The sequence below is a fragment of the Homo sapiens genome, chromosome 6, assembly GCF_000001405.40.
Source record: "Homo sapiens chromosome 6, GRCh38.p14 Primary Assembly".
In the NCBI taxonomy this organism is placed as follows: Eukaryota; Metazoa; Chordata; class Mammalia; order Primates; family Hominidae; genus Homo; species Homo sapiens.
The window spans coordinates 65,693,100-65,715,720 of record NC_000006.12 but is presented as its reverse complement, the minus strand read 5'-3'; the positions used below and the strand labels follow the sequence as shown (position 1 = coordinate 65,715,720).

Sequence of the window (22,621 nt, the reverse complement as noted above, 5' to 3'; positions counted from 1 at the left end):
AAGATTTGAGGCCAGATAATGAAGTAGCTCTGTTAAGGAATCTGGAAGTGGATTCCTACCTTGTCTTGGAAGTGATATAGTTCAGTAGGAAGTGTACGGATTTTGAAGCCTACAGTTTCTGAGAATGAATCAAAAGTTTTGTGATCTTTACACATTCTGCTTAATTTTCCTGACATTCATTTGAACAATGGGAGAAAATACCCACTTCATTAGGTTCCATTTGTATACAAATATGATAATGTTTGTATATTATTTAATAGAACAAAAGGTATTGCTAGGGTCTGAATATTTATGCCCAACTCCCCACCGAAAAAAATGTATATGTTGAGATTCTAACCCCCAAGATATTGGTATTAAGAGATAGAGTCCTGAGGAGGTAATTAGATCATAGGGCAGAGCCCTCATGAATATGATTAGTGGGCTTACAAGAGGCTAAAGAGACTAGAGTTCTCCCCTTCCATCATGTGTGGATGCAGCAAAAAGGCACTTTCTTTGAACCAGGAAACTAGTCGTCACCAGACATTGTAGCTGCTAGAGCCCTGATCTTGGACTTCTCTGTCTCCAGAACTGCAAGAAATAAATTTCTGTTGTTTATAAGCTACCCAGTATATGGTACTTTGTTATAGCATCTTGAACAAACTAACAAGTAGTGAGCATGTGATTAAGTTATACCACAACTAATATTAGTTTGCACAGGCCAGTAGAAGTTTGTGATGTGGGAAGCTCTGACCTCATCAGAGCTATTTTTTTTTTTTTAAATGTGGAATTGATTTGAAGTTCAGGTACTGGAAAAATAACCAGTTCAGAAAAAACTCCCCAATAGGTAGCATTGATCAAATGACCTTCTTGGTCATTTTTATGCCTACAGTCATGCAAGAAGAGGACTGAAATCAGGGACATGATGAGAGCCTGTGAGTAGGTACTTAGAAAACAAATGAAGAATTGATATTTTTAAATAAAGATAAAAGTATTCATTAGAGGCTGGATGTGGTGGCTCATGCCTGTAGTCCCAACATTTGGAAGGCCAAGGCAGGAGGATCACTTGAGCCCACGGGTTTGAGACCACCCTGGGCAACATGGCAATACCTTATCTCTACTAAAAATTAGGAAGAAATTTAGGTGTTCATTAGAGCCATGTAAAATTTGAAATTACAAGGCTAGATTTCCACAAACATAAAATAGGTTGATGAGAGAGAGAGACTGGGCAGAACTGAGGGCCAAGTCAGTACCATCAAATGTCAGTACACCGCACTTTGGAGTCAGGAGCGCGGGGCTGGATCGGCGAAAGAAAGACAAAGGTGTAACAGAGTGTAGTATAGTAGCCACACAAACCGAAATTTTCAGGGAAGTGGCCAGAGTCTAAAGATTTAAACAGGCAAAAGGAAGACAAAATGAACAGAGTGAGAAAGAAAAATCCCATTTATTATATTGGGTGCTTTCAGAAATGTTTTAGAGTCTTCTCTTTACAACCAATCTGAGAAGTAAAAATCTGAGATTCATATAATTTTAATGGATTGACAAAGGTCATATAACTAGTAAAAGATAGAACTGAAATTTAATCCTAGATGTTAGAAAAAGAATTATGAGGCCTTTTGAAGTAGTAATAAGGAGGTTACTGGTCACCATCAAGAAAGTTATTTTAGGGGGATTGTGGAAGCATAAGAGAGTTTGAAAGAGATTTTAAAGTAAGCAGATAACAAGAAAAAGGGGCACCAGTCTTTCAAGTTTTAAGAAAAAGGAGGCAAACATTACTAACTCAAGGGATTTAACAGTGTCAAAGGGGAAATCCCCAGGGATGGAAGGAATTAAAATTGCTAGTGGGCAGGTTGCGGGGAATAAAGTTTCATGAGCTATAAAACATTATAAATCTCTGCAATGAGTTGCTCTGAGAATTGAAATAGTCATACTTAAATATTTTTAGTACTTTAAATGACAGAATGGTCTATTGTTTTAGTTTTTTACCGTGCTTGTTGTTATTTACAGTATTTTATTTCTTTTGAGAATTTGAACTTTTTCTGATAACAAAAAGATTCTTTATTTTGGAGAATGTGGAAAGTTTAGGTAAAGTTTCCACTGAAGAATGGTGATGTTTGAAACACTCAAGAAAGAAATGGGATCCCTAATGTTTTAAATGGCTAATTTTGTTGTGTGTAGAGTCACATTCTTGAATTCCCCTTATGTATCTGTTCGGTAAATGTTTGTAAGTATTGTAAGAGTGTTTAAGAGTGTGTGTGTGTGTGTGTGTGTGTGTGTGTTTGCGTATAGGTCCATGCCTTTGATTTTGTTCAAGAAACAATTGCAAAATATCAAGAGCAAAGAGTAAATGAAGACAGAAAAAACATAGAGACATATTTTCATCTCACACTGTCACGAAACCATAAGAGCATCTGTCATGGTGATGTGCACCTCTGGCCATGAATTTGAAATAATACCAGTTAACATATGTGGAGCACTAGCCAAGTGCTAAATACTTTTCATGTGCTTTCTCTCTCTTGTGTGTGTGTGTGTGCATGCATGCATGTGTGTCACATGCATGATTTGTGATCCTCTTAACAGTCCTCAAATATAGGCATTACTATGATATTAGTTTTACAGATATATAAATTTGTAATTTTCTCAAGGTCGCATAACTGGTAACTGGACCAGCCAAGTTTGATTTGAGGTCCTGTGATTCTAGGGCCCAAGTTTTCAACTACACTCTATTGTCTCTGCAAAACCCAGATATTGGGAAAATAATTTATTGTCTGATTATTGTTGTCAGGAGCCATGAGATAAGAAAATTCCCTACAAATAAGTGAGAAGTTTTTTCAGATATGAGTGACTATTTTTAAAGATCTGAAAAGAGAACAACATTGGCATGAAAAATTAGGTTTAGCTGTCTAAATTCCCAAACCCCACGGGATAGATCTGTGCAGCACATCGAATCTGTGACAGGGTGGGCTAATTTTCCCAGAAGACATATTAACAAACTTTAATACTGTTACTTTCCTTTACCATCTTGAATGGAATATGTGGGACAATAATAATTGTCTTATATAGTCTCTAATAATTTTATAATGTATTCTCTCACTAATAATTTCTCTAATGGCACTTAAAGAAAACAAAGTACTCAATGGCAACTGGCAATTTTGGGGATGAGGGAGCTTATAGTTCCAAAAACTCAATCCATGAATAAAGGAGAGGGTATTTAGAGAGAATGGAGTTTGAGGAAGAATTTTTTTCCCCTTGCTTTCAGGCTGAGAGAGTTGGGGAAGAAAATAACTTCCTTTTTAAGTATAGGGAACTCAGACTAGGAAGGATCTGTGGTCCTACTCTCATCAAGAATTTTGAGAGATACCTTCCTTACCTCATAGGTATTGAGGTATAAAGTAGAGATAGTCACGCTGGATGCCAGAAACAGAGAAGCCTGAGGTAGCCTACTGGATCACACGTCCTTGGACTGTTGTGGGAGAATGATGATTCTCATTTCTTCAGCTACATATGCAAGTTATATATTGAAAATGCCTGTAGTCCAGTGTTCTAAATATCTGTCTGCAGTATATGGCACAGATTATCATTCCCTTCTTGAAATGTTTACTTCACCTGCCTCAGGGACCTCATTCTCTTATTTTTTCTTCCACTTCAGCTAGTATTCCTTTGCACTTTCATCTGCTGATTCTTCTTCATTTCCAACATCTCTAAATTTTGCTGAAATCTCCTCTAGTCCCATAGCTTTATGAATAATCTGTGTGTTAACAACTCCCAAATGTTTATGTCTAACTTGGATCCCTTCTCTGAACTACAAACATTGGCTATTTACCTACTTTCATAGTTTCATCACTTGCATGTTTAATAGTCCTCTCAAACTTAAAATGCCAAGTGCTAATACTTGACCTCCTTTCCCACCCCACCCCAAACCTACTTTTTTCATATTCTTCCCCCACTTGTAAAATAAAACTTGACTTCTCTATTATCCCAGGTCATAGACTTAGTCATTATTATTTCATTTGCTTATTCAGCAAAAAATTATTGAGCACTTACTAAGTGGGACAGTGTCCTATGCAATTGTACATGATGGAAAAAAACAAAGATCCCTAGACTCTTAGTGATTTCAATCAAGAGGAAGGATGAAAACTATACAGTACACATATTAATAAGCAGTTAAATAGTATCTCAATGGTGACATATTCTGTACAAACAAAAATGGAGCTGGGTGGAGCAGATTGGAATGAGAATAGTAACTTGTAAAATTAAGTGGCAAGGTTAAGGTAGGTATATTCTGGAAGGTAAGGGCACTCATACACTTGAAGGTGAGACAGTTTACCTGAGTCAAGGTAGCTGAGAGAAAAGTGTTCTAAGAAGGGGAACACTAAAGAAGCTAAAGCGCTAACCTCCTTGCTATCTCTGAGAAAAAGCATGAAAACTAATGTGTTTGGAACAGGGTAATCAATAAAAGAAAATCAAAGAGGTAACAGAAGGACAGATCCTGAAAGGCCTTTCAGGTCCTTGTAACCACTCTGGTCTGTTATTCTAAGTGAAATAAAAAATAATACAAAATTTGGTTAAATATTTGCCACTATATATCTTAATTTTTAAAAGGATCACTGTGGCTATTCTCCCAAAAATAAACATGGGAAGAGGGAGGTGGGCAAGAGTGGAAACAAAAAGATCTATTAAAGGACGTTTGCATTAACTCTTGGGATAAATGGTGATGGTTTCAGCCAGAGTGACAGCAGTGAAAATAATGCGCAGTGGTTAAATTTGTGATATCTTTCTTTTTTTTCAACTTTTATTTTAGATTTGGGAGCACATGTGCAGGCTTGTTACCTGGGCACATTGTGTGAAGCTGAGGTTGGGTGTAAGAATGATCCCATCACCCCGGCACTAAAAGAATTCAACAGTCTTTCAACTCTTGCCTCTCTCTCTCTCTTCCTTCCTCCTCTAGTAGTGTCCAGCGTCTGTTGTTGCCATCTTTATGTCCATGAGTGCCCAATGTTGAGCTCCCACTAATAAATGAGAACATGAAGAATTTGGTTTTCTGTTTCTCGTTAATTCACTTAGGATAATGTCCTCCAGATGCATCTATCCTACTGCAAAGGACATTAATTTCTTCTTTTTTTATAGATTCATAGTATTCCATGTTGAATAACTACTACGTTTTGTTTATCCAGTCCACCATTGATGGGCACCTATGTTGAGTTTATATCTTTGCTATTGTGAATAGTGCTGAAATGAACATGTAAGTGCTTGTGTCTTTTTAGTGGAAAAATTTATGTGCTTTGGGATATATATACAGTAATGGGATTGCTGGTTCAAATGGTAGTTCTCAGTTCTTTGAGAAATCTCCACACTGCTTTCCACAGTGGCTGAACTAATTTACATTCCCACCAGGAGTGTGTAAGCATTCTTTCTTTCTCAGCAGCCTCACCAACATCTGTTTTTTTTTTTTTTACTTTTTAATAATAGCCATTCTTACTGGTATGTGAGGATATTGCATGGTTTTGATGTGCATTTCTCTGATGATCAGTTTTTCTCTGATGTTGAGCATTTTTTCATGTTTCTTGGCCACTGGGATGTCTTCTTTTGAGAAGTGTCTGTTTATGTCTTTTTTGTTGCGTTTTTTTTTTTTCTTGCAAATATTTTCTCCCATTCTGTAGGGTATTTGTTTACCATGATGATAGTTTCTTTTGCTATGTAGAACCTCTTTAGTTTAATTAGGTCCCACTTGTGAATTTTTGGTTTTATTGCAATTGCTTTTGAGGTCCTAGTCATAAATTCTTTCCCAAGGATAATGTCCAGAATGGTGTTCCCTAGATTATTTTCTAAGATTCTTATAGTTTGAGGTCTTAAATTTAAATTTTTACAGATTTGGGATATATTTCTTTCATACCTCACAACAAATTCATCATCTCTTCTCTAAATTCTGTTCAAAACTATATCCAGAATCCAACATTACCTTCATTACTGCCAACTTGATCCAAGCCACTGCTAGCCTGTGTCTGAATGAATATAATAGCCTCTAATCTGGTTTAGCATCTTCCCATTTCCACCAACCTCTCACTCTAGTCACCGCAAAATTAATCCTTTAATTGTTAGTCAAGTCATGTATTTTCTCTTCTCAAAACCTCCATGAACTTTCTATGAGATTTAAAGTAAAAGCCAAAGTCCATAAAATGGCCAATAGGGAGACATTCACATTCTGATTTATCCTTTACTGCTTTAGCCTCTTGTCCTGTCATGCTCCCAATTATAGTTTCTACTCCAGTCATCTCTGGCCTGCTTTAGGATATTTTTAATCAGTGTTTTCTCTACCTAAATATCTCTTCCACCGATGTCTGCATAGTTAAATTTCTGTCTTTGTTTCTTTTTGTTCTTCTATCAAATGTCACTTGAAAGTAAGAAGGAAAGGGGCCAGGCGCGGTGGCTCACACCTGTAATCCTAGCACTTTGGGAAGCCAAGGTAGGTGGATCACTTGAGGGCAGGAGATTGAGACCAGCCTGGCCAACATGATGAAAACTCATCTCTACTAAAAATACAAAAATTGGCTGGGCATGGTGGAGGGGGTGCCTGTAATCCCAGCTACTGGGGGTGCTGAGGCAGGAAAATCACTTGAACCCGGAAGGCAAAGGTTGCAGTGAGCTACGATCCCTGGAGTGCCATTGCACTCCAGCCTGGATGACAGAGTGAGACTTGGCTTCCAAAAAAAAAAAAAAAGAAAAAGAAAGCAAGAATTAAAGGGATGAGAAAGGGAGGGGGGGGAGAGGACAGAAGGGGAGGGGTGGAAGGGAGAGGGAGGGGAGGGGGAGGGGAATGGGAGAGGGGACGGGAGGGTGATGGAAGGGAGGAGGAGAGATGTAAGGGAAGGGGGATGGAAGGGAGAGGGGAGTGGAGAGGAGTGGAGGGGAGGGAGGAGGGAAGGGGAGGGGAGCAGAGAGGGAAGGGAAGGGAATGGGGAAAAGGAGGAGGAAGGGAAGGGGGAGAGGGAGCAAAGAGGGAAGGGAAGGGAATGGGGGGAGTGGAGAAGGGGGAGCAGAGGGCAAGGAGAGGAGGGGGGAGGGGAGAGGAGGAGGAGGGGAAAAGGGAGGGAGGGGAAGGGAAGAGGAGGGGAAGAGGAGGGACACAGGGAGGGGGAAGGGAAGGGAAGGAGGAGGAGGAAGGGAGGGGGAAGGTAGGGGAAAGATATAAGAAAGGATGAAAGAAATAATAGGGGGAGATGCAAGAGAAAGAAAAGTGAAGAAAGGAAGGAAGAAGGAAGAGAAAGTAACAGAGGGAGAAAGATAAAGAAGGGAGAGAAAGGAAGAGAGGGAGAAAGGGAGGAAACTTCTAAGTCTTACAAGAAGCAAGATATAGTAGATGAACTGTTTTCCAGATATAAATGGATATGTGCATCATGATACTATGTTATGTTCAGCGTAAATTGTCTTGGGAGGCCACAGTGTATAATTATGAATAACTCATTTCCATGAGTCAACATATAAAAGTTCTTCCCTTTAGATAACAAAATGTTAGTAGCACATTGATTCATGAAAAATGTGTAAATATTATATAAATTATATAAAGAATAAATCATAAAACATATACACATGTATAATTTTATTTATTGCTACAAATAGAAATTTTTTTCTACAGTGTGATTTTAATATTTTAAAATATTACTTTTCTTTCATTAGGAGAGTGATTAAATATATGTTTCACACACTTACTGCAGGATCAAGTGTAATACAAATGATTTATGTTTAATTTAGTAATTTGAAAATATAAGGATAGTATTAAAGCCAGTGTCCAACTGGGACTGTGGGTTCAGGATATACTAATAGAATCTTAATTTGACAAAATTCTAATGCACTCAGTAACTGTTCTTTCTATAATCTCACAGATAGAGGTGAGATTTCATTTATTCTACCTTTCAGTGGTATAAATTTCTTGAGGCTTTCTTTATTATAGTCCCATAATTCTTCTTTAGGAAAAGGTAGATTCTGTATTACTTCTTTTATAAAGATCATCATAGAATCAATAAGTAACATACTAAAATCGTTCTTCGCATCAGCAGGCCCTCTTTCTGTTCTCTTATGCTGACAGCCTTTGCTATACAACACCATCTGAGGTTGTTACTAAACCTTCAGCATCAGGTTTCCCTAGCAACAGAAAGCTTTTTTCTTTCTCCCACTGTCTGTATATGAGTTTTTTACAAAAACAAAAAAAAAATTGTAATAATCTCTAAAAACACAAGAAAGCATTCAGACTGAGACCTATGAAGTTAGCAATGAAAATGGTGAGTTACAAATAAAATAAGGAATAATTAAATTGTAGAGAAGTATTTTGCTTATGGATTTACACAAAGCTCCAGATGGTGATTTGCTATATTCATCTCCAGATTAGCTAAATAAAGGCCAGGCCTTATGTCAGCCTGCACATGGCTTTAATGACTTTACCTTTGTACTGCAAAAGGTTAAGGCTTTTAGTGCTATGTTTCAGAAGACACATATAAAAGAAGCTTTATTGGATTAGGCTTCTGAGAAACAAAGTGATACACGCTAGGCATGTCCAGACATTAACCGTAATCAGAAGCCTCCTAGGGTTGCAAGCCTCCTTGGCTAATGGTTGGGGTAAGTTATACTTGATTCCACCTAGAAATTATTTTTCTATTACTAGATAAAAACACTGCCTAGCTGAACACAACTACAAAGATCTCTAATTATAATCATAAGCATTTCTTTAACCAGTTATTTTTACTTATTATATATAAAACATTTTCACTAAATTTTCTCTGTCATTTGCTTAAGGATATTCATTCTGTTTGAATCAAAAACAACATGTGCTTTATATTCCTTGGATATACAAATAATATAATTTTCACCTCCTTTGAGATACAGGATTTGGGGGATTGCTAGAGAATCTTTATTTAGTCATGAAGTACTTATGATTGCTTTCGATTTTTGAGGTTTTCCCCCATTGTCTGCTAGCATATACATAGGGCCATGAAATGTCAATTGCAAATGAAATTGTATGATTTTTCAGTTTGTTTAGAAAAGATTTTGGCCATAAATCTAGAGATACTCATACTAGTTTTGTTGGAGGTGATGTTTATTCTCATGTTAATGATCAACATTTTTTTCCTCTTCAATGGCACTGTGAGGATAGTGTTTCCTTTGTACGTGGTTGTTTAAGTTTTCTTACAACTGATCAGATATGATGATTTTTTAACAGCTGTAGTGTGATTATTTATTTTTAAAAAGAAAACGTAAAGGTGTTTCACAGGTCCAACACTCTTACCTTATTAATACACTACCAGTCTTATTATTTAGGAGATTTATGGTTCAATAAGATTTATTAGTTCTGTTTAATTCTTATGACTTTAATGAGCTTAAAAATCTTTATTATTTAAATATTTCAGAAATCAGGTATGTTGAACTATTTGTAATTACTTAGTATACAATATTAAAATAAGGGACCATTGCTTACCTTAAAGGTTAATGTTATTTTCAAAGTTAATTGCATAATATTAGAAACTATTGATATATATACTCATGTGTATATATGCTCATATATATACTCATATCATCTATATCATATGAGTATATGTCTATCAATCATTCTGCCTAAAATTATTAAATGTGATTTCTAAAATACATATGAAATGAATATTGAAGCATGCAACATATTGATATATATTATTTTGCCATTAATTTTGATATATATTACTTTGCAGTTAATTTTCATACTATATTTATATTATCAATTCTAACAAGTTTTTATTTAAAACTTAATATTTAGGTAATAATGATTCAGTTTATATTATTAGCAGGATTAAGGAAATACAATATTACTAGTGGATAAAGTGTGTTTTTATTATCAACAAAAATTGCAATTGTTAATAATTCAGATTTTTTAAAAATAATTCTCAGTTTTTAACTTAATAGTTTTAATTGGCCTAAAAATGGCCCTTTTAAACAAAAATGTTTGCAACATTTTACTATTTAGAAAGGAAAAGGGCATTGATATTGATTTAATCCTGACTATACTCAATATTCAAGAACTCAAATGCCAAACCATGAAGAAACTTCCATGTTTGCAGTTGCCATAAATAAATGACAGACAAAATTTGTATAATTTTCTGCATTTTAACCAACTAGAGAATAACTTGTGAGCATAGGGAATAAGCACAATGCCCCTTTTTCCATGGAATTACTAAAACCTAATACCAAGCCTTGATTTGGAGGCATTCAACAAATATTGAGTTAATGCGTTAAAAAACAAAACAAAACTGTATTGACTTACTTGGTTCCACTTTCCCCTTCTGTAGCATCTTTAAAACAATAACAAAAAACTTAGGGAAAACAAAAAAGAGGAAAGGACCAAAAGAAATAAAACATTTCTGGGGAAGGGTGGCCAACAAGCCCTGAGTACGTTAAGCTATGCTTAGCTGCTCCATGAATAAATTTTCCTCTATGCAGCCCAGATTCTTTGACTCTGGCCAAGCTCCTGCCCTAAATGGCAGTAGCCAAAGAGTTAATTGCTCCCTGTGAGTGCCCTAAGTTGTCAGGAGCTAACCACTTAATAATCTTAATGAAAATCATGTATGCTTGCAGAGGCTCATAGTAACTTTTATGGTGCCCATATAACACTGGAGAAGGTGGTCTAATCATACAAGTTTTTGCTAGCCCAACTGATATAAATAAATGCCTATTACACTTCTCTATCATTGAAATAAAAAAGTGAAAAAAATACCATTTTAAGAAAACCATGTGTTCCCAGAGGAAATTCTATTTTTAAATATAATAAAACTAACACTTCAGAAGATAACCCTGGAAAATAATGCTGAATAAAGATGAAAACAATTTTCAACTTTGAATGAACTGGAAGAAACAAAGATTAGAAAATGTGCCTCAGGTCATATTCTGGGTTTTGCCCCAAGAGAACTCAGAGAGTGAGTGCATCACTGCTGTGTAAGGTTTGGTGCATTTTACTTTCAGTGTTATGCTTATTTTCACCAAGTGCATTTTCTAATGATCAAAATAGTATTTACTAAATTCATGGTGCTAACTAAAATTTCTGATGAATAGAAGGTGTCTATTCTTGAGTTATTATATTTTATCTATTTGGGAAAGCTACTGAGAAATCAAATATAACCGAATATTAAGTTATAAATGTATAACAGTCTATTATTTTGTGACAAGAAATAGAACCACATCAAAGTCTGAAGAGATATACTCTCCATCAAGCACACATTCTTTCTTTGAACAAGTAAATGTAAACCTGAATTATAATTGTAACTGAACTTGTTGAATTTAGAATCTGAATCTGGAAAATATTAGCTTAGCAGAGTAATCGAGCATGGGCTCTGAAGTCAGACACAGTGGTTTAAGACTATTAGTCTGTTACTCATTAACTTTGCAGTTTTTAGCAAGTGAATTTTCATAAAATGGAGATAATTTTTATGAAATGGAGACAATAGTACACATCTCATCTAGTTGAGTTGAAGCTTACATAAACTATTGTATGTAATGTGCTATGCACTGTATTTGTGAGCTGAGAACTCAATACATATTAAGGATTATGAGTTATGTGATTTGCATGCTTTATTACACAAAGAAAGTTCAAAGCATCCACATGCACAGTGGTGGCATATTTAATACTGGGCTTGTTCCAGTGGAGTTTTTTATATCAGCGTTTACTCCTCCTTAGAATCTGCTTGAAGACTCTGCCTAATATTGCTTCCATGGCTCTTCTTTTCACCTTCCTTCTCAGCGACCCCCACTTTCAATTCGCTCAGTCGTTCTCCAGACATGTTAATACTGTGTTTAACAGATTACAGCCAGATCTGACAGTCTTGGACAGCATCTTTGAAGTGACTTTGTAGCACCATGCCAATCCATTACATAATGAATTTACAGTTAATTTTCAGAAACAATTCATTTTTCTGTCCTCAAGGTCTTGGAGAGAAGGTCATTAGATGTCCCAAATATCAATAAAATACTTTAATTGAGATAATGTGAATTTCTCACATTGTTAGTTCAAAATATCAGATTTCTTCTAGGAGCTTTCTTTCATTACTTCCAAAGTATTAATTTATCATTCATAGAGTTGTAACTTCAATGTAAATATAGATAATAGATAATTTTAATATTTTTAAATATAAATATAAATTCAATTTTTATATGTAGAAAATAAATACACATGGAACCAATGCACTTTGCTCATTCAAATTTTTGATAGGAATATATTCTCAATAAAAATGTAATATTAGCAAAAATCTATTTTATAAGTTAATATGCAACCATTAAAGTGGTTTATTCAATGTATTATTTACATTTTAGGATATAAGTCTGGAAATTAGCAACTAACATAGTTAAATTTATAAAAAAAGAATTATTGCTCACATATTTTCTTATTATATATCTATCTATCCATGTATCTTTCTATGTATCTGTTTATGGTTTATGTATCTATCTGCCTGTATATGTGCATGCATTAGTCAGAATTCTCCAGAGTAACAATACATATATATAGAGAGAGTAACAGTATATATATAGAGAGAGAGAGATAGAGGAGAGACAGAGAGAGAGAGGCACTTTAAGGAATTGGTTCATGGGATTGTGCAGGTTGGCATGTCTGATATTTGCATGGCCAGCTGCTGAAGATCTAGGGAAGGGTTAATGCTGCAGCTCTAATTGGAAGGCAGTTTAGAGGCTGAATGCTTTTCTTTTTAGAGGACCTCAGTCTTTTCTCTAAAAGCCTTAAAGTTATTGGATGAAGCTCACTCACATTGTGGAAGGCACTTTTCTTTACTCTAAGTCTCCTGATTTAAATGTTAATAACATCTAAAAAATTACCTTCATAGCAACATCTAAACTGATGTTTGACCAAAAAGTGGATACTATGGCACCATGGCCTAGCCAAGTTGACACATAAAATTAATCATCATTATGCACACACGCACACACAGGCACACACAAACACCCACACACACACATATGTATCTATGTATTTATACACTGCCTTATATATTTTATTTTATTATTTATTTATTTATTATTTATTTATTTTTTGACGTGGAGTCTCACTCTGTCACCCAGGCAGGAATGCCCTGGTGCTGTCTCTTCTCACTGCAACCACCACCTCCCAGGGTCAAGCGATTCTCCTGCCTCTGCATCCCAATTAGTTGGGAATACAGGCAAGTGCTACCACGCCTGGCTAATTTTTGTATTTTTAGTAGAGACAAGCTTTCACCGTGTTGGCTAGGCTGGTCTCAAAATCCTGACCTCAAGTAATTTACTCACCTGGGTCCCCCAAAATGCTGGAATTACAAGGCATGAGCCACCGCACCTGGCCACCTTATATGCTTTATAAGCTAATCTGTTTTCTTGGTTATTACAGAAAATAAGTAAGCCAATCATCAAATTAGTGTAAATACTGTCATTAAGCTTAGTGAGCTTTTTTGTTGTTCATAAACTACAACTTATTTTGAAACATTGAAAATTAATGTAAAATTAAGTAGCTTCAGCAATTACAAATAAAATGTAATGAGAAAAAAAGATTCTTTTATTTTTGAAAGAAAATAGTCAAAGAAACAAAGTAGAGAAATATTCTCTCCAAAACACGGAAGAAATAACTGAGAGCCATTGAGGATATGGTAGGGCAGAAAACTGATCCTAATCATCTCCCTACCCTGTGGTGGTGACGATTTGTTAAGCACATGTCAGTCATTACCCCATAGGGCACAACATGTTGATATTAGCTCGTTAAATATAAGTTTGGCTTCAGCTTGATGGTTAAATGTCCGATACTACCTTTGTGGGTTTGCACTGAAGTCAGAGAAATATGTTCAAGTATTAAAAGAATGCAACTCAATGCCTTATGAAATATTTCTAAACTGTGATATTACAAAGCTTCCTGTTCCAAAAAACTCTCTCTATATATATGTATATGCCCTTTTATTTATTTATGCAACAAATGCACTGTTAATATTCCCTGCACATTCTAGGTCCTGAGAAAACAGTGACAAATTAGACAACAAAGATTGTGAATTTTGTTAAGCTTTTATTTCTGGAGAGGTGTGAGAAAAAAAATCAAGAAATAAATAAGGAAGAAAATAATAAATAATAAAAGCTATCCAGATAATTCAAATAGGGTGAGAAGACATTGCCTGGGAGGGTATTTTAGACTGGGTAGTCAGGAAGCATTGCAGTGCAAGTTAATGTTTAAACTGAGATTTTTATAACAGTGCAAGAGTATTATTGGTCAGTTGTTTTAAAATAATCATCTGGCAGTTGTGTGAGGAGACTTGACTGCAGAGAGATGAACAAGCGTGAAGGAGGATGATAATAGGGAACCTAGAAAAATGGACAGATTTATTTTCAATTTTCCCATGTTATTTCTCCCAGTATTAATATGACTTCATTTCTTCTTAGTGTTTGAATACTTATCCATCTGTGATTTATTTTGGCATAAGGAGTAAAATAGACATTCGTGTTATTTTATGCACATAGGTAGCCTGTTGCCACAATCCCATTTATTCAATAATGGGAGAATAATTTTAAATATTTTTATATTCATAGTCAAATAAATTTTCCAATACTCTTTGAGGAAGAAATATATTTAAAAAGTACAGGCAAGTATTCCTCTCCTGGATATATACTCCTGAGAAATTATTGCAAAGATCTATACAAGGATGGTGTATATGGCATTAGGGAGTTGAAAGCAACCTGTGTATCCATCTCCAGAAGAATGGATTAATAAAATACAGTAAATCACACTATGAGATGCTGTATAGCAATATGAAACAATAAACCAGATATGTGACATAGATTGGTCCCCAAACAAGGCTGGATGAGTAAAGTAGGACAGAGATGGGATTTACAAAACCCTTAATGGAACTGAAAATACACAAAACCCACACTATATTTTACAAGACTATATCTATGCTGAAGAACGTACGGCAAACACATTACAAATGGTTTCCTGTGAAAGGAAGCAGATGGGATGGGGATTAAGAAATAAGGGAAAACCCAAACATGAAATGGGCTTTGTGTTGCTGGTAATATGTTAACAGTAAGAAGAAATATAAGGTGCATTCCAATTTCTGACACGGCAAATGTAAAAAAGTATGCCTGAGGCTTAATGAATATAGTAAATATTATAGCTCAATATTACGCACCAGAGGTTTAATTTAAAATATTAAAGAAGTAGGATAAAGAAAAACATTTAGATCAATACTACCATACAAATTAAAAGTTTTAAAAGTTAAAATAATTAAAGTGTAACATAGAATATTTAACATATATGTAGCCACAGTATCCCCATTTGGCCTTTGGATATTTCTGGTGTAGCCTACTTGATTCCTGGGCTTTTCTGTTTCCCAATTGTCAAAAGCTCTTGCAGACTCTGTTTCCTAATATCTATCATTAAAATGCTTCCCTCTTTTTTCCATGTCACTGTCACGGTCTTAGTTGAAGTTCTGATTGTCTCTCACTTGGATTATTGCCATGGTTTCCTAATTGGTCTCCCAGGGTCCAGTCTTGTGAGCAGCTATGATCTCTCCAAAAGTCAAAATGTGATTATTTAACTCCCTTTCATAAATCCTTGTGATGTTTTAATATAGTTTTTTTTTTTTTTTTTTTTTTTTTGAGACGGAGTCTCGCTCTGTCACCCAGCCTGGAGTGCAGTGGCACGATCTCCGCTCACTGCAAGCTCTGCCTCCCGGGTTCACGCCATTCTCCTGCCTCAGCCTCCCGACTAGCTGGGACTACAGGCGCCCGCCACCACGCCCGGCTAATTTTTTTGTATTTTTAGTAGAGACAGGGTTTCACCATGTTAGCCAGGATGGTCTCGATCTCCTGACCTCATGATTCGCCCGCCTCGGCCTCCCAAAGTGCTGGGATTACAGGCGTGAGCCACCGCGCCCGGCCTGTTTTAATATAGTTTTAAGGGAATAATCCAAACTCAGCTTGGTTGGTTCATGGCCTTCATTAATAAGACTTTGATTAGGACTGTCCCTTTCCATATTTCACCATTCACCTCCTTTGTCCAGTCATTCCAGCACTTGGGCTTCCTGTCATTTTACAGAAGAATGTTCATGTCTTCTCTCTCGACTGTTTGCTGATAAGTACCCCATCAGTTAAAAATCTCCTTGCCTTAGGATGAATAGATTACACACACCAGGTTATTCTGCAGCTACTATACATGTTCATGTCAGACTTTTTCTGTGAAATTGGGTACATGACTACTACTTACATCTGTTGGCTTATTGGTTTCCCTACCACATTGTGAACTTGTTCAAAGCAAGGTCTGCATCGTTCTTTTTTTTTTGTTTTGTAATTACCATTGCCCAGTATGAACCATAATATTGAGCAAAATTTGACAAATATTTATTAAGTAAGGGAAATTCATAATTAGTTTCAATTTTCAATTATATGTAAAATAGGGTTTCATAATTTTGATAAAAATACTTGTAAAGAGGAATAAAATTATGTGAAACTTCAACTTCATTATAAGCACAAATAAGCATCCAAAATATCATATCTAGCCATAGTAAAAATAATAAAACAGAAATATAGACGTGATCTAAAACGAATACGTATGCAAGTAGAAGATAATAAATTAAAATTATTTTCACTTGGCAAGAATCAAGTGCCATTGTTAACATTGACCAAATGGTAAGAAAGATTGGGAGAAATATTTATATAGGAAGTAAATCCAATTCATGAATAGCAAATAAAGCTCGTGCTGAATCAAATGTGAAAACTGGTGATTTTGTTCTACTTATTGACTAGTTTGAAGAAATACACATTATGTTGTATCAGTTTAGAAAAGTAATTGTAGGAAAAAGTAATCTGTTTTGAATAATATCAGGAAGATTGATTCTTTAGTTTTTCTTATGGTGAAACAATCCATGTTTAATGGTTTCTGTGGGGAATTTTAGAAAAAACTTCAAGAATTAACTAGCAAACACTGTGCTGATGCAAAGTTGTAGAATTTTAGTAAGGAAAGGTATATGAGGAAGTCAAAGGATAACATGTATAGACACCTGCAGCATGGTAAATGTTTTAGCAATTCATGTAATAGAAACCAGAAGGTGCCTTGAAATTCACAAAAAACAGTAGTGCACACCACAGCTGTGGGAGAACACTCAGAGGAAGATGTGATATAACATCTGAGTTAGATAGAATCCATCTGAGTTACATAGAATACAATTTCTAGATGCATTCTTCATTTTTTTAGCATCCTAAAAGTAAATGTGGATAGTTTTCATCAGCTCTTATCTCTTTTTGATTTATAATTCAAGAAAAAGTCTTATATTATTGATATAACCTGTAGTTCATATTTAATCGATGCATTAATTATATAGGACCCACCAGTATTTTGAGTTAGCTACAAATACTTTTATTAGAGAATGTTGGAGAAATGTACTGCATTATGACAAAAACTTCATTAACTCTCCATGTTGTCTATTAATATTCAGAGATTATGCTTCTCAATTAAGCAATAAAAAATTTACAAATTTTAATGCAAGTCATCTATGTACGGAAGATAAATATTTATTTGTGTCAGTGCTTAGGAAGGCAACTATTCTTTATGTATAATGATGCACCTTTGTCAGACAAATAAGTATTTCCCAGATACCGTATTTGAAATAATACATTCCTTCCCCCAGCGTCTGACCTAAACCATATCCGTCTCCCTCCCACCCTGACACACATAAATATTACCTGACAATGTTTCATAGGAAGCTGATGAGCTAGGCAAGTCTTTAAGCCACTCTTTGTGAAATAAATGTCGTATTTGTTACTTTGTATATTTTCCACTAATTGTGGTAGTACAGCAGTTTTGAAATGTCACATATTGGCTTCATTTGTAGGTTCTGAAAATGTCTTCTTGTGTCTTATAAACTGTGACTAGGGATACAATTTATTAGGCAATGGGCATACTGACAGGCTCTGACTAAGATAGATGTAATGCCGTGATGATTTCATGTCTTCATTAACATATGCTCGTTATTGGTTCCATCGTCTAATTTTAAAACTTCACAAGCCAGGCTCTTTCTATTTAGATTAGTTGTTTTTAAATTCTAAATGCCTCGGACCCAATCGTTTGGTAAGAATTCATAAAGTGAAAACATACTGTTATTTTCTTCTATTTTTAAGCTTGATTGAAAAGAATGCTTCTGTCAGAAATAAAATGCAGAGCTGTTGTGTTTTCTCTGTGGGCCTGCATACATTTAGTTATTTTGTTTACAATGAGTCTCATAAGATTAGAAAATCAAATTGACAGATGATCAATGTCAGATCTACTGAAAGACTACCTGCACAAATAGAATGCAAGATGAAACCTCAAATGGTCACTCAAGCCTTGATGATCATGTGGACATTGTAAAGCATGCCTGCAGTAAACACTTAATGTAAAAGTGACTTTGATGTGAATATGCACTTAACATGAATTTCACATTAGCTTGTGAAGAATAGTTTTAAAATGTCTAAAGTATACATGATGAAGTAGCTATTCGTTATGATATACACTGAGAATTGACTTTTTAATCTATATCATTTTAATTATTAGACTGTTAATTATAATAATTTTAAAACTAAGAGACAAAACATACCTTTTTATCCAAAGTGAATTATCATTATATGTATATGTGTACACACACACACAAACACACAAAAACATATATGTGAGATATACATGCCTCAGAATATATGTAATCTGGCTGCAGTTTGAATTTTTTAACTATCGAATCTTTTCATGCCTTTGGTATCCTAACAAAAACCAGACTAAGCTTACAGAATTCAATATGGTGTATTTTAAAAGTGAAGACATATGCTATTCGATAGCTCTTACCTTTAGCAGAAGAAACAATATAGATTAAGAATTCTACACTCTAAGTACTCTGGATGATTTTTAAATTTTCTTTAGAAATATTTTTGTCAATTTATTTAAGCAGTGCATAAAATACATTTCAAAGTTTAATATTTTATTTACAATGGCTTAAGTGATCTTTGAATTATTTATCATTATTAAAATAGCATTTCATTTTTAGGATGTGCAAGACTCAAGTACCGCCTTACCTTACCAGTGAGATAATTTATACGATACTTTTATGTATTGTTATATAATTGAGAATTTGAAGAGGTTTCCATATCTTAGCTTCCCCTATATTTTCCATTAATTTTCCTTCATTTAATAATCTAGCTTATCAAAAACAGAGAAAGAGGTTTGTAATAATGATAGCAACTAAGAAAATCAAGACTACCGTTAAGAACAACCACACAAAATGAATAAATGTACAAATAGTTTACTCTCAAAATAAATGATTAAAATCAGCTCGAAGTTACTAACTTCAAAAGTTGTCTAATATTCTTATAGCATATTTAGGTAATATAATTTGAAAACAACGAATTGTATTTTAGAATCAGTTTACATTTTTAACCAAATATGGTAAAGTAAATAAAGATGTTTAGATAAATAATACAGATTTTTTTTAACCAGGAGTATGACATTTTTAAATATATCTCTGAGAATTTGCCAGAAAATGTTTAATCAGAACAGGCATACTGGCTCAGGAACCAAGATCAGTCGTTTTGAAGAATACAACAGAATCTTTAACTTTCATCTCAGTATACACTACTGCAGGCAGAGGAACTTTTGTTTTGTTTTATAGGATTGCTGAGTAGGAAAGAGACCTATTATATTACCTTTTATATATTCTCCTGCCAAAACAAGCTAGATCATTCCCTCTAATCCCAGCTGAATTCTGGGATTTCATACGGCTTTAGAATAATTATTTTAGACCAAATTTGAGTAAAATGCTCAAGTTGCAGTTAACTTGTCATTTCTTAACACTATAAATACAGAACCATGTATGTTTCTGTATGTGTTTGAATATTCACAGGATATAGAATAGCCAAATTGCTACTTTGTAATTATATAACTATGTTTATATAGCTTCATACTTGACTATAAAGATAGTTTTCTATAAAAGTCAACAAAAAAATCAACTTTTTGACAGAGCCATATTACCTGTATGTGCATGTATTTATAAAATGTTATTGTAGAAATAGTTACATATAGATATAACATTGCTAAGGTAGGCAAAGTAAAAAAAAAAATAACAATGATTGACTCCTTGATATTTAATAGGCATCAGCTTAATATGGCTGTGACCCAACTTCCTCTCTCTTTTTCCTTCACTGACTTCTACCATTCTCCTATTTTCCCACTGAAAACTCTTTTATCACATGATATATGAAGAAAAATCAAAAGATTACATTGGATCTGAGGTATATATCAAATTAAAATTCAATAAATGCAGTAGAATTTCTCAGAACACCTGCAGTTTAATAACAGAATTGTGTTTTAATTCTACTCTTCACTAGCCATATACCTTCTGAGAGTTTCGGGAAATATTATTAATCCTACTGTAATATTATTTGTCATAATCTTGCCAAACAAGGGTGATAAATACCATGTCTCTTCTAATTTTGCAATCTATATTTAACTTTTCCCAGAGGTTGATATTTTTAAAATATTCCACACATAACTCGCTGTTGAAAATTTCTCAGTGGTGCCTAATCATTTAAGAAACTAAATGAACACTTATTTCTATGTACATGGACACCTAATTTGCCCTTGCATATTATATTTCAGTATCACTGAATGATATGTAGTTTTCTTGTAAAATGTATATTTTTCACAAATTATTGCCTTTGCTCTCTTTCAACTCTTCCTAAGCTTTCTGGTCTCACCTCAAATTCTCCTTCATTTTGAAAATTTTTATGACTTTATCAGGGAGATTAAGGAATTTTCTCTCTTAGTCATTATATCAAATTTTATATTTTATTAATAATTTTTCTTACGCAATACTGTCTTTTCTTGAGATTATTAAACACTTTGAAGGAAGAAAATGAACATTTTTCCTTTGTCTTCCCAATCTAACATAGCAGAGCAAACTATGGACAAATATAAATGGCTAAGGGTTTTACAAAGTTTTTTTTTTTTTTTTAAATCTACAACAAGCCAATGGTTTACCTCGTTGCTAGTTAACATCATTTTGCACAAGTGCATCAATTTGCAGAAGGTGAAATAACCAGTCAGTGTTGGGTCTGGGATTCCAAGTCAGGCAGGCTGACCCCAGAAAGTACACTGTTAACTATATTTATAGTTTTAGTTACCTGAGCCTCTTCTATACTACTGATTACACAAGGGCGATCTCTGCTTAGAAATTATAATCAAGAAGGAGTAATTTAGTTTAAATGCAAATATTTGTCTTTTTAAAAATATACCTGAAGAAGTTTCTTTTAACAATCACCAAAAATATTAAATTGCATCACAACTTCAAGAGACAAAAAAAAAATATGAAGAATCAAATGGCAATATGATTAAACTCCATAAGTTACTAAATTTAAAAATATTTACATACTAGTTTACACAGAGTGCATATGTTTTATTATACATATATATATATTTTTTTATTTTTTATTTTTTTTGAGATAGAGTTTTGCTCTTGTTGCCCAGCCTGGAGTGCAATGGCACAATCTTGGCTCACCACAACCTCTGCTTCCCAGGTTCAAGCAATTCTCCTGCCTCAGCCTCCTGAGTAGCGTAGCTGGGATTACAGACAGGCATGTGCCACCACGCCTGGCTAATTTTGTTATTATACATAATTTTTAAACAATCATGTTCAGTTATAGAACAAAAGTTTCAGTCTTTTTATTGATCTTAGATATTATCTACTTTCTTCATCCTCCTTGTGGGGGTTCTGTATTCATCAGGTGACTATAGCATCAAAATCAGGACATTCTTAAAAGTAGTAAACACTAAAGCAATTAAAATGAAAACAAAGGTCTAGGACAACCCATAGAAACCAGCAATGTACTGTGCAAGCTGAGATGGGTGCTTAGATTTGTCTATTGACCATTTCCTCAGTGTCTTATGAGCCATTATTTCACAAGACACATAGGATCTTCCATATCTCATTGCGTTTACTTCATGTCTTTTTAAAAAAATTCAGATGGATTTTCTAAACTCAGATGCATAAAAGCAAGTTCTTACTCCTCCTATTATCCTTTCCTAATTTTCTCTGTCATTATCTTTATACTTGAAATTCTATAATTTTCCAAATCTTAATACTTCTCTAATATTAAATATCAGACTAGTGACTTCTGCAGGTTTTATTGTAAAATAGGTTTTTTTTGTAACCTCATGTTAAAAATCAGGATGGTACTAGCAAATGTGTCCCTAAAATGCCAAACATCTTTCTTTCTCTTGCATTTTATAAACCACCACTGGTACAGTTTTGTTGTAACTATGGCCCAAGACTTAAAAAAAAAAAAAAAAAAAAGAAAGGAAAAAAGAAGATTGTTTGCTTTTGAGGGCTGTGTCTCTATCAGAGCTCTCCTACATGTTTTCTTCATTTTTACAAAGTTACAAGCTATATGAACTGTAAAATTATGCAGCATAAATTCATTGTAGAATACATAAGGAGAAAAATGGGAGAAAAGAGAGAGGAAAAAGGGAGGAAAGAGGGAAAAAATAAAACAGAAGTAAGGCTGGAGAGAGAAGAAAAGAAAGAGAAGGAAGGAAAATAGGAAGAAAGGAAGGAAGCGATGAAATCTATTTGACTTCTTGTTATTATTGGGAAATTTG

At 34.4% G+C, this 22,621-nt stretch overlaps 1 protein-coding gene across 3 annotated transcripts in view, besides 3 other annotated features; it reads left to right on the top strand.

Moving 5' to 3' along the window:
- Positions 2,574-2,743: an enhancer, noted in NCBI's record as "experimental_93494 CRE fragment used in MPRA reporter constructs". NCBI's record gives its function as "activates a minimal promoter by MPRAs in K562 erythroleukemia cells, with activity observed for both the introgressed and non-introgressed 6:66422956 variant alleles {active_cell/tissue: K562}" and the evidence as "EXISTENCE:reporter gene assay evidence [ECO:0000049][PMID:34662402]".
- The window catches only part of EYS (eyes shut homolog), a 1,987,247-nt gene continuing 1,973,120 nt past the window's right edge, over positions 8,495-22,621 (top strand). For all 3 annotated transcript variants that reach the window (NM_001142800.2, NM_001292009.2, NM_001142801.2), the window contains exon 1: positions 8,495-8,586. The gene's annotated coding sequence lies outside the window, so the exon portion shown is untranslated. The remainder of the gene's footprint in view (positions 8,587-22,621) is intronic.
- Positions 17,522-17,691: an enhancer, noted in NCBI's record as "experimental_93466 CRE fragment used in MPRA reporter constructs". NCBI's record gives its function as "activates a minimal promoter by MPRAs in K562 erythroleukemia cells, with activity observed for the introgressed 6:66408008 variant allele {active_cell/tissue: K562}" and the evidence as "EXISTENCE:reporter gene assay evidence [ECO:0000049][PMID:34662402]".
- Positions 21,693-21,862: an enhancer, noted in NCBI's record as "experimental_93446 CRE fragment used in MPRA reporter constructs". NCBI's record gives its function as "activates a minimal promoter by MPRAs in K562 erythroleukemia cells, with activity observed for the introgressed 6:66403837 variant allele {active_cell/tissue: K562}" and the evidence as "EXISTENCE:reporter gene assay evidence [ECO:0000049][PMID:34662402]".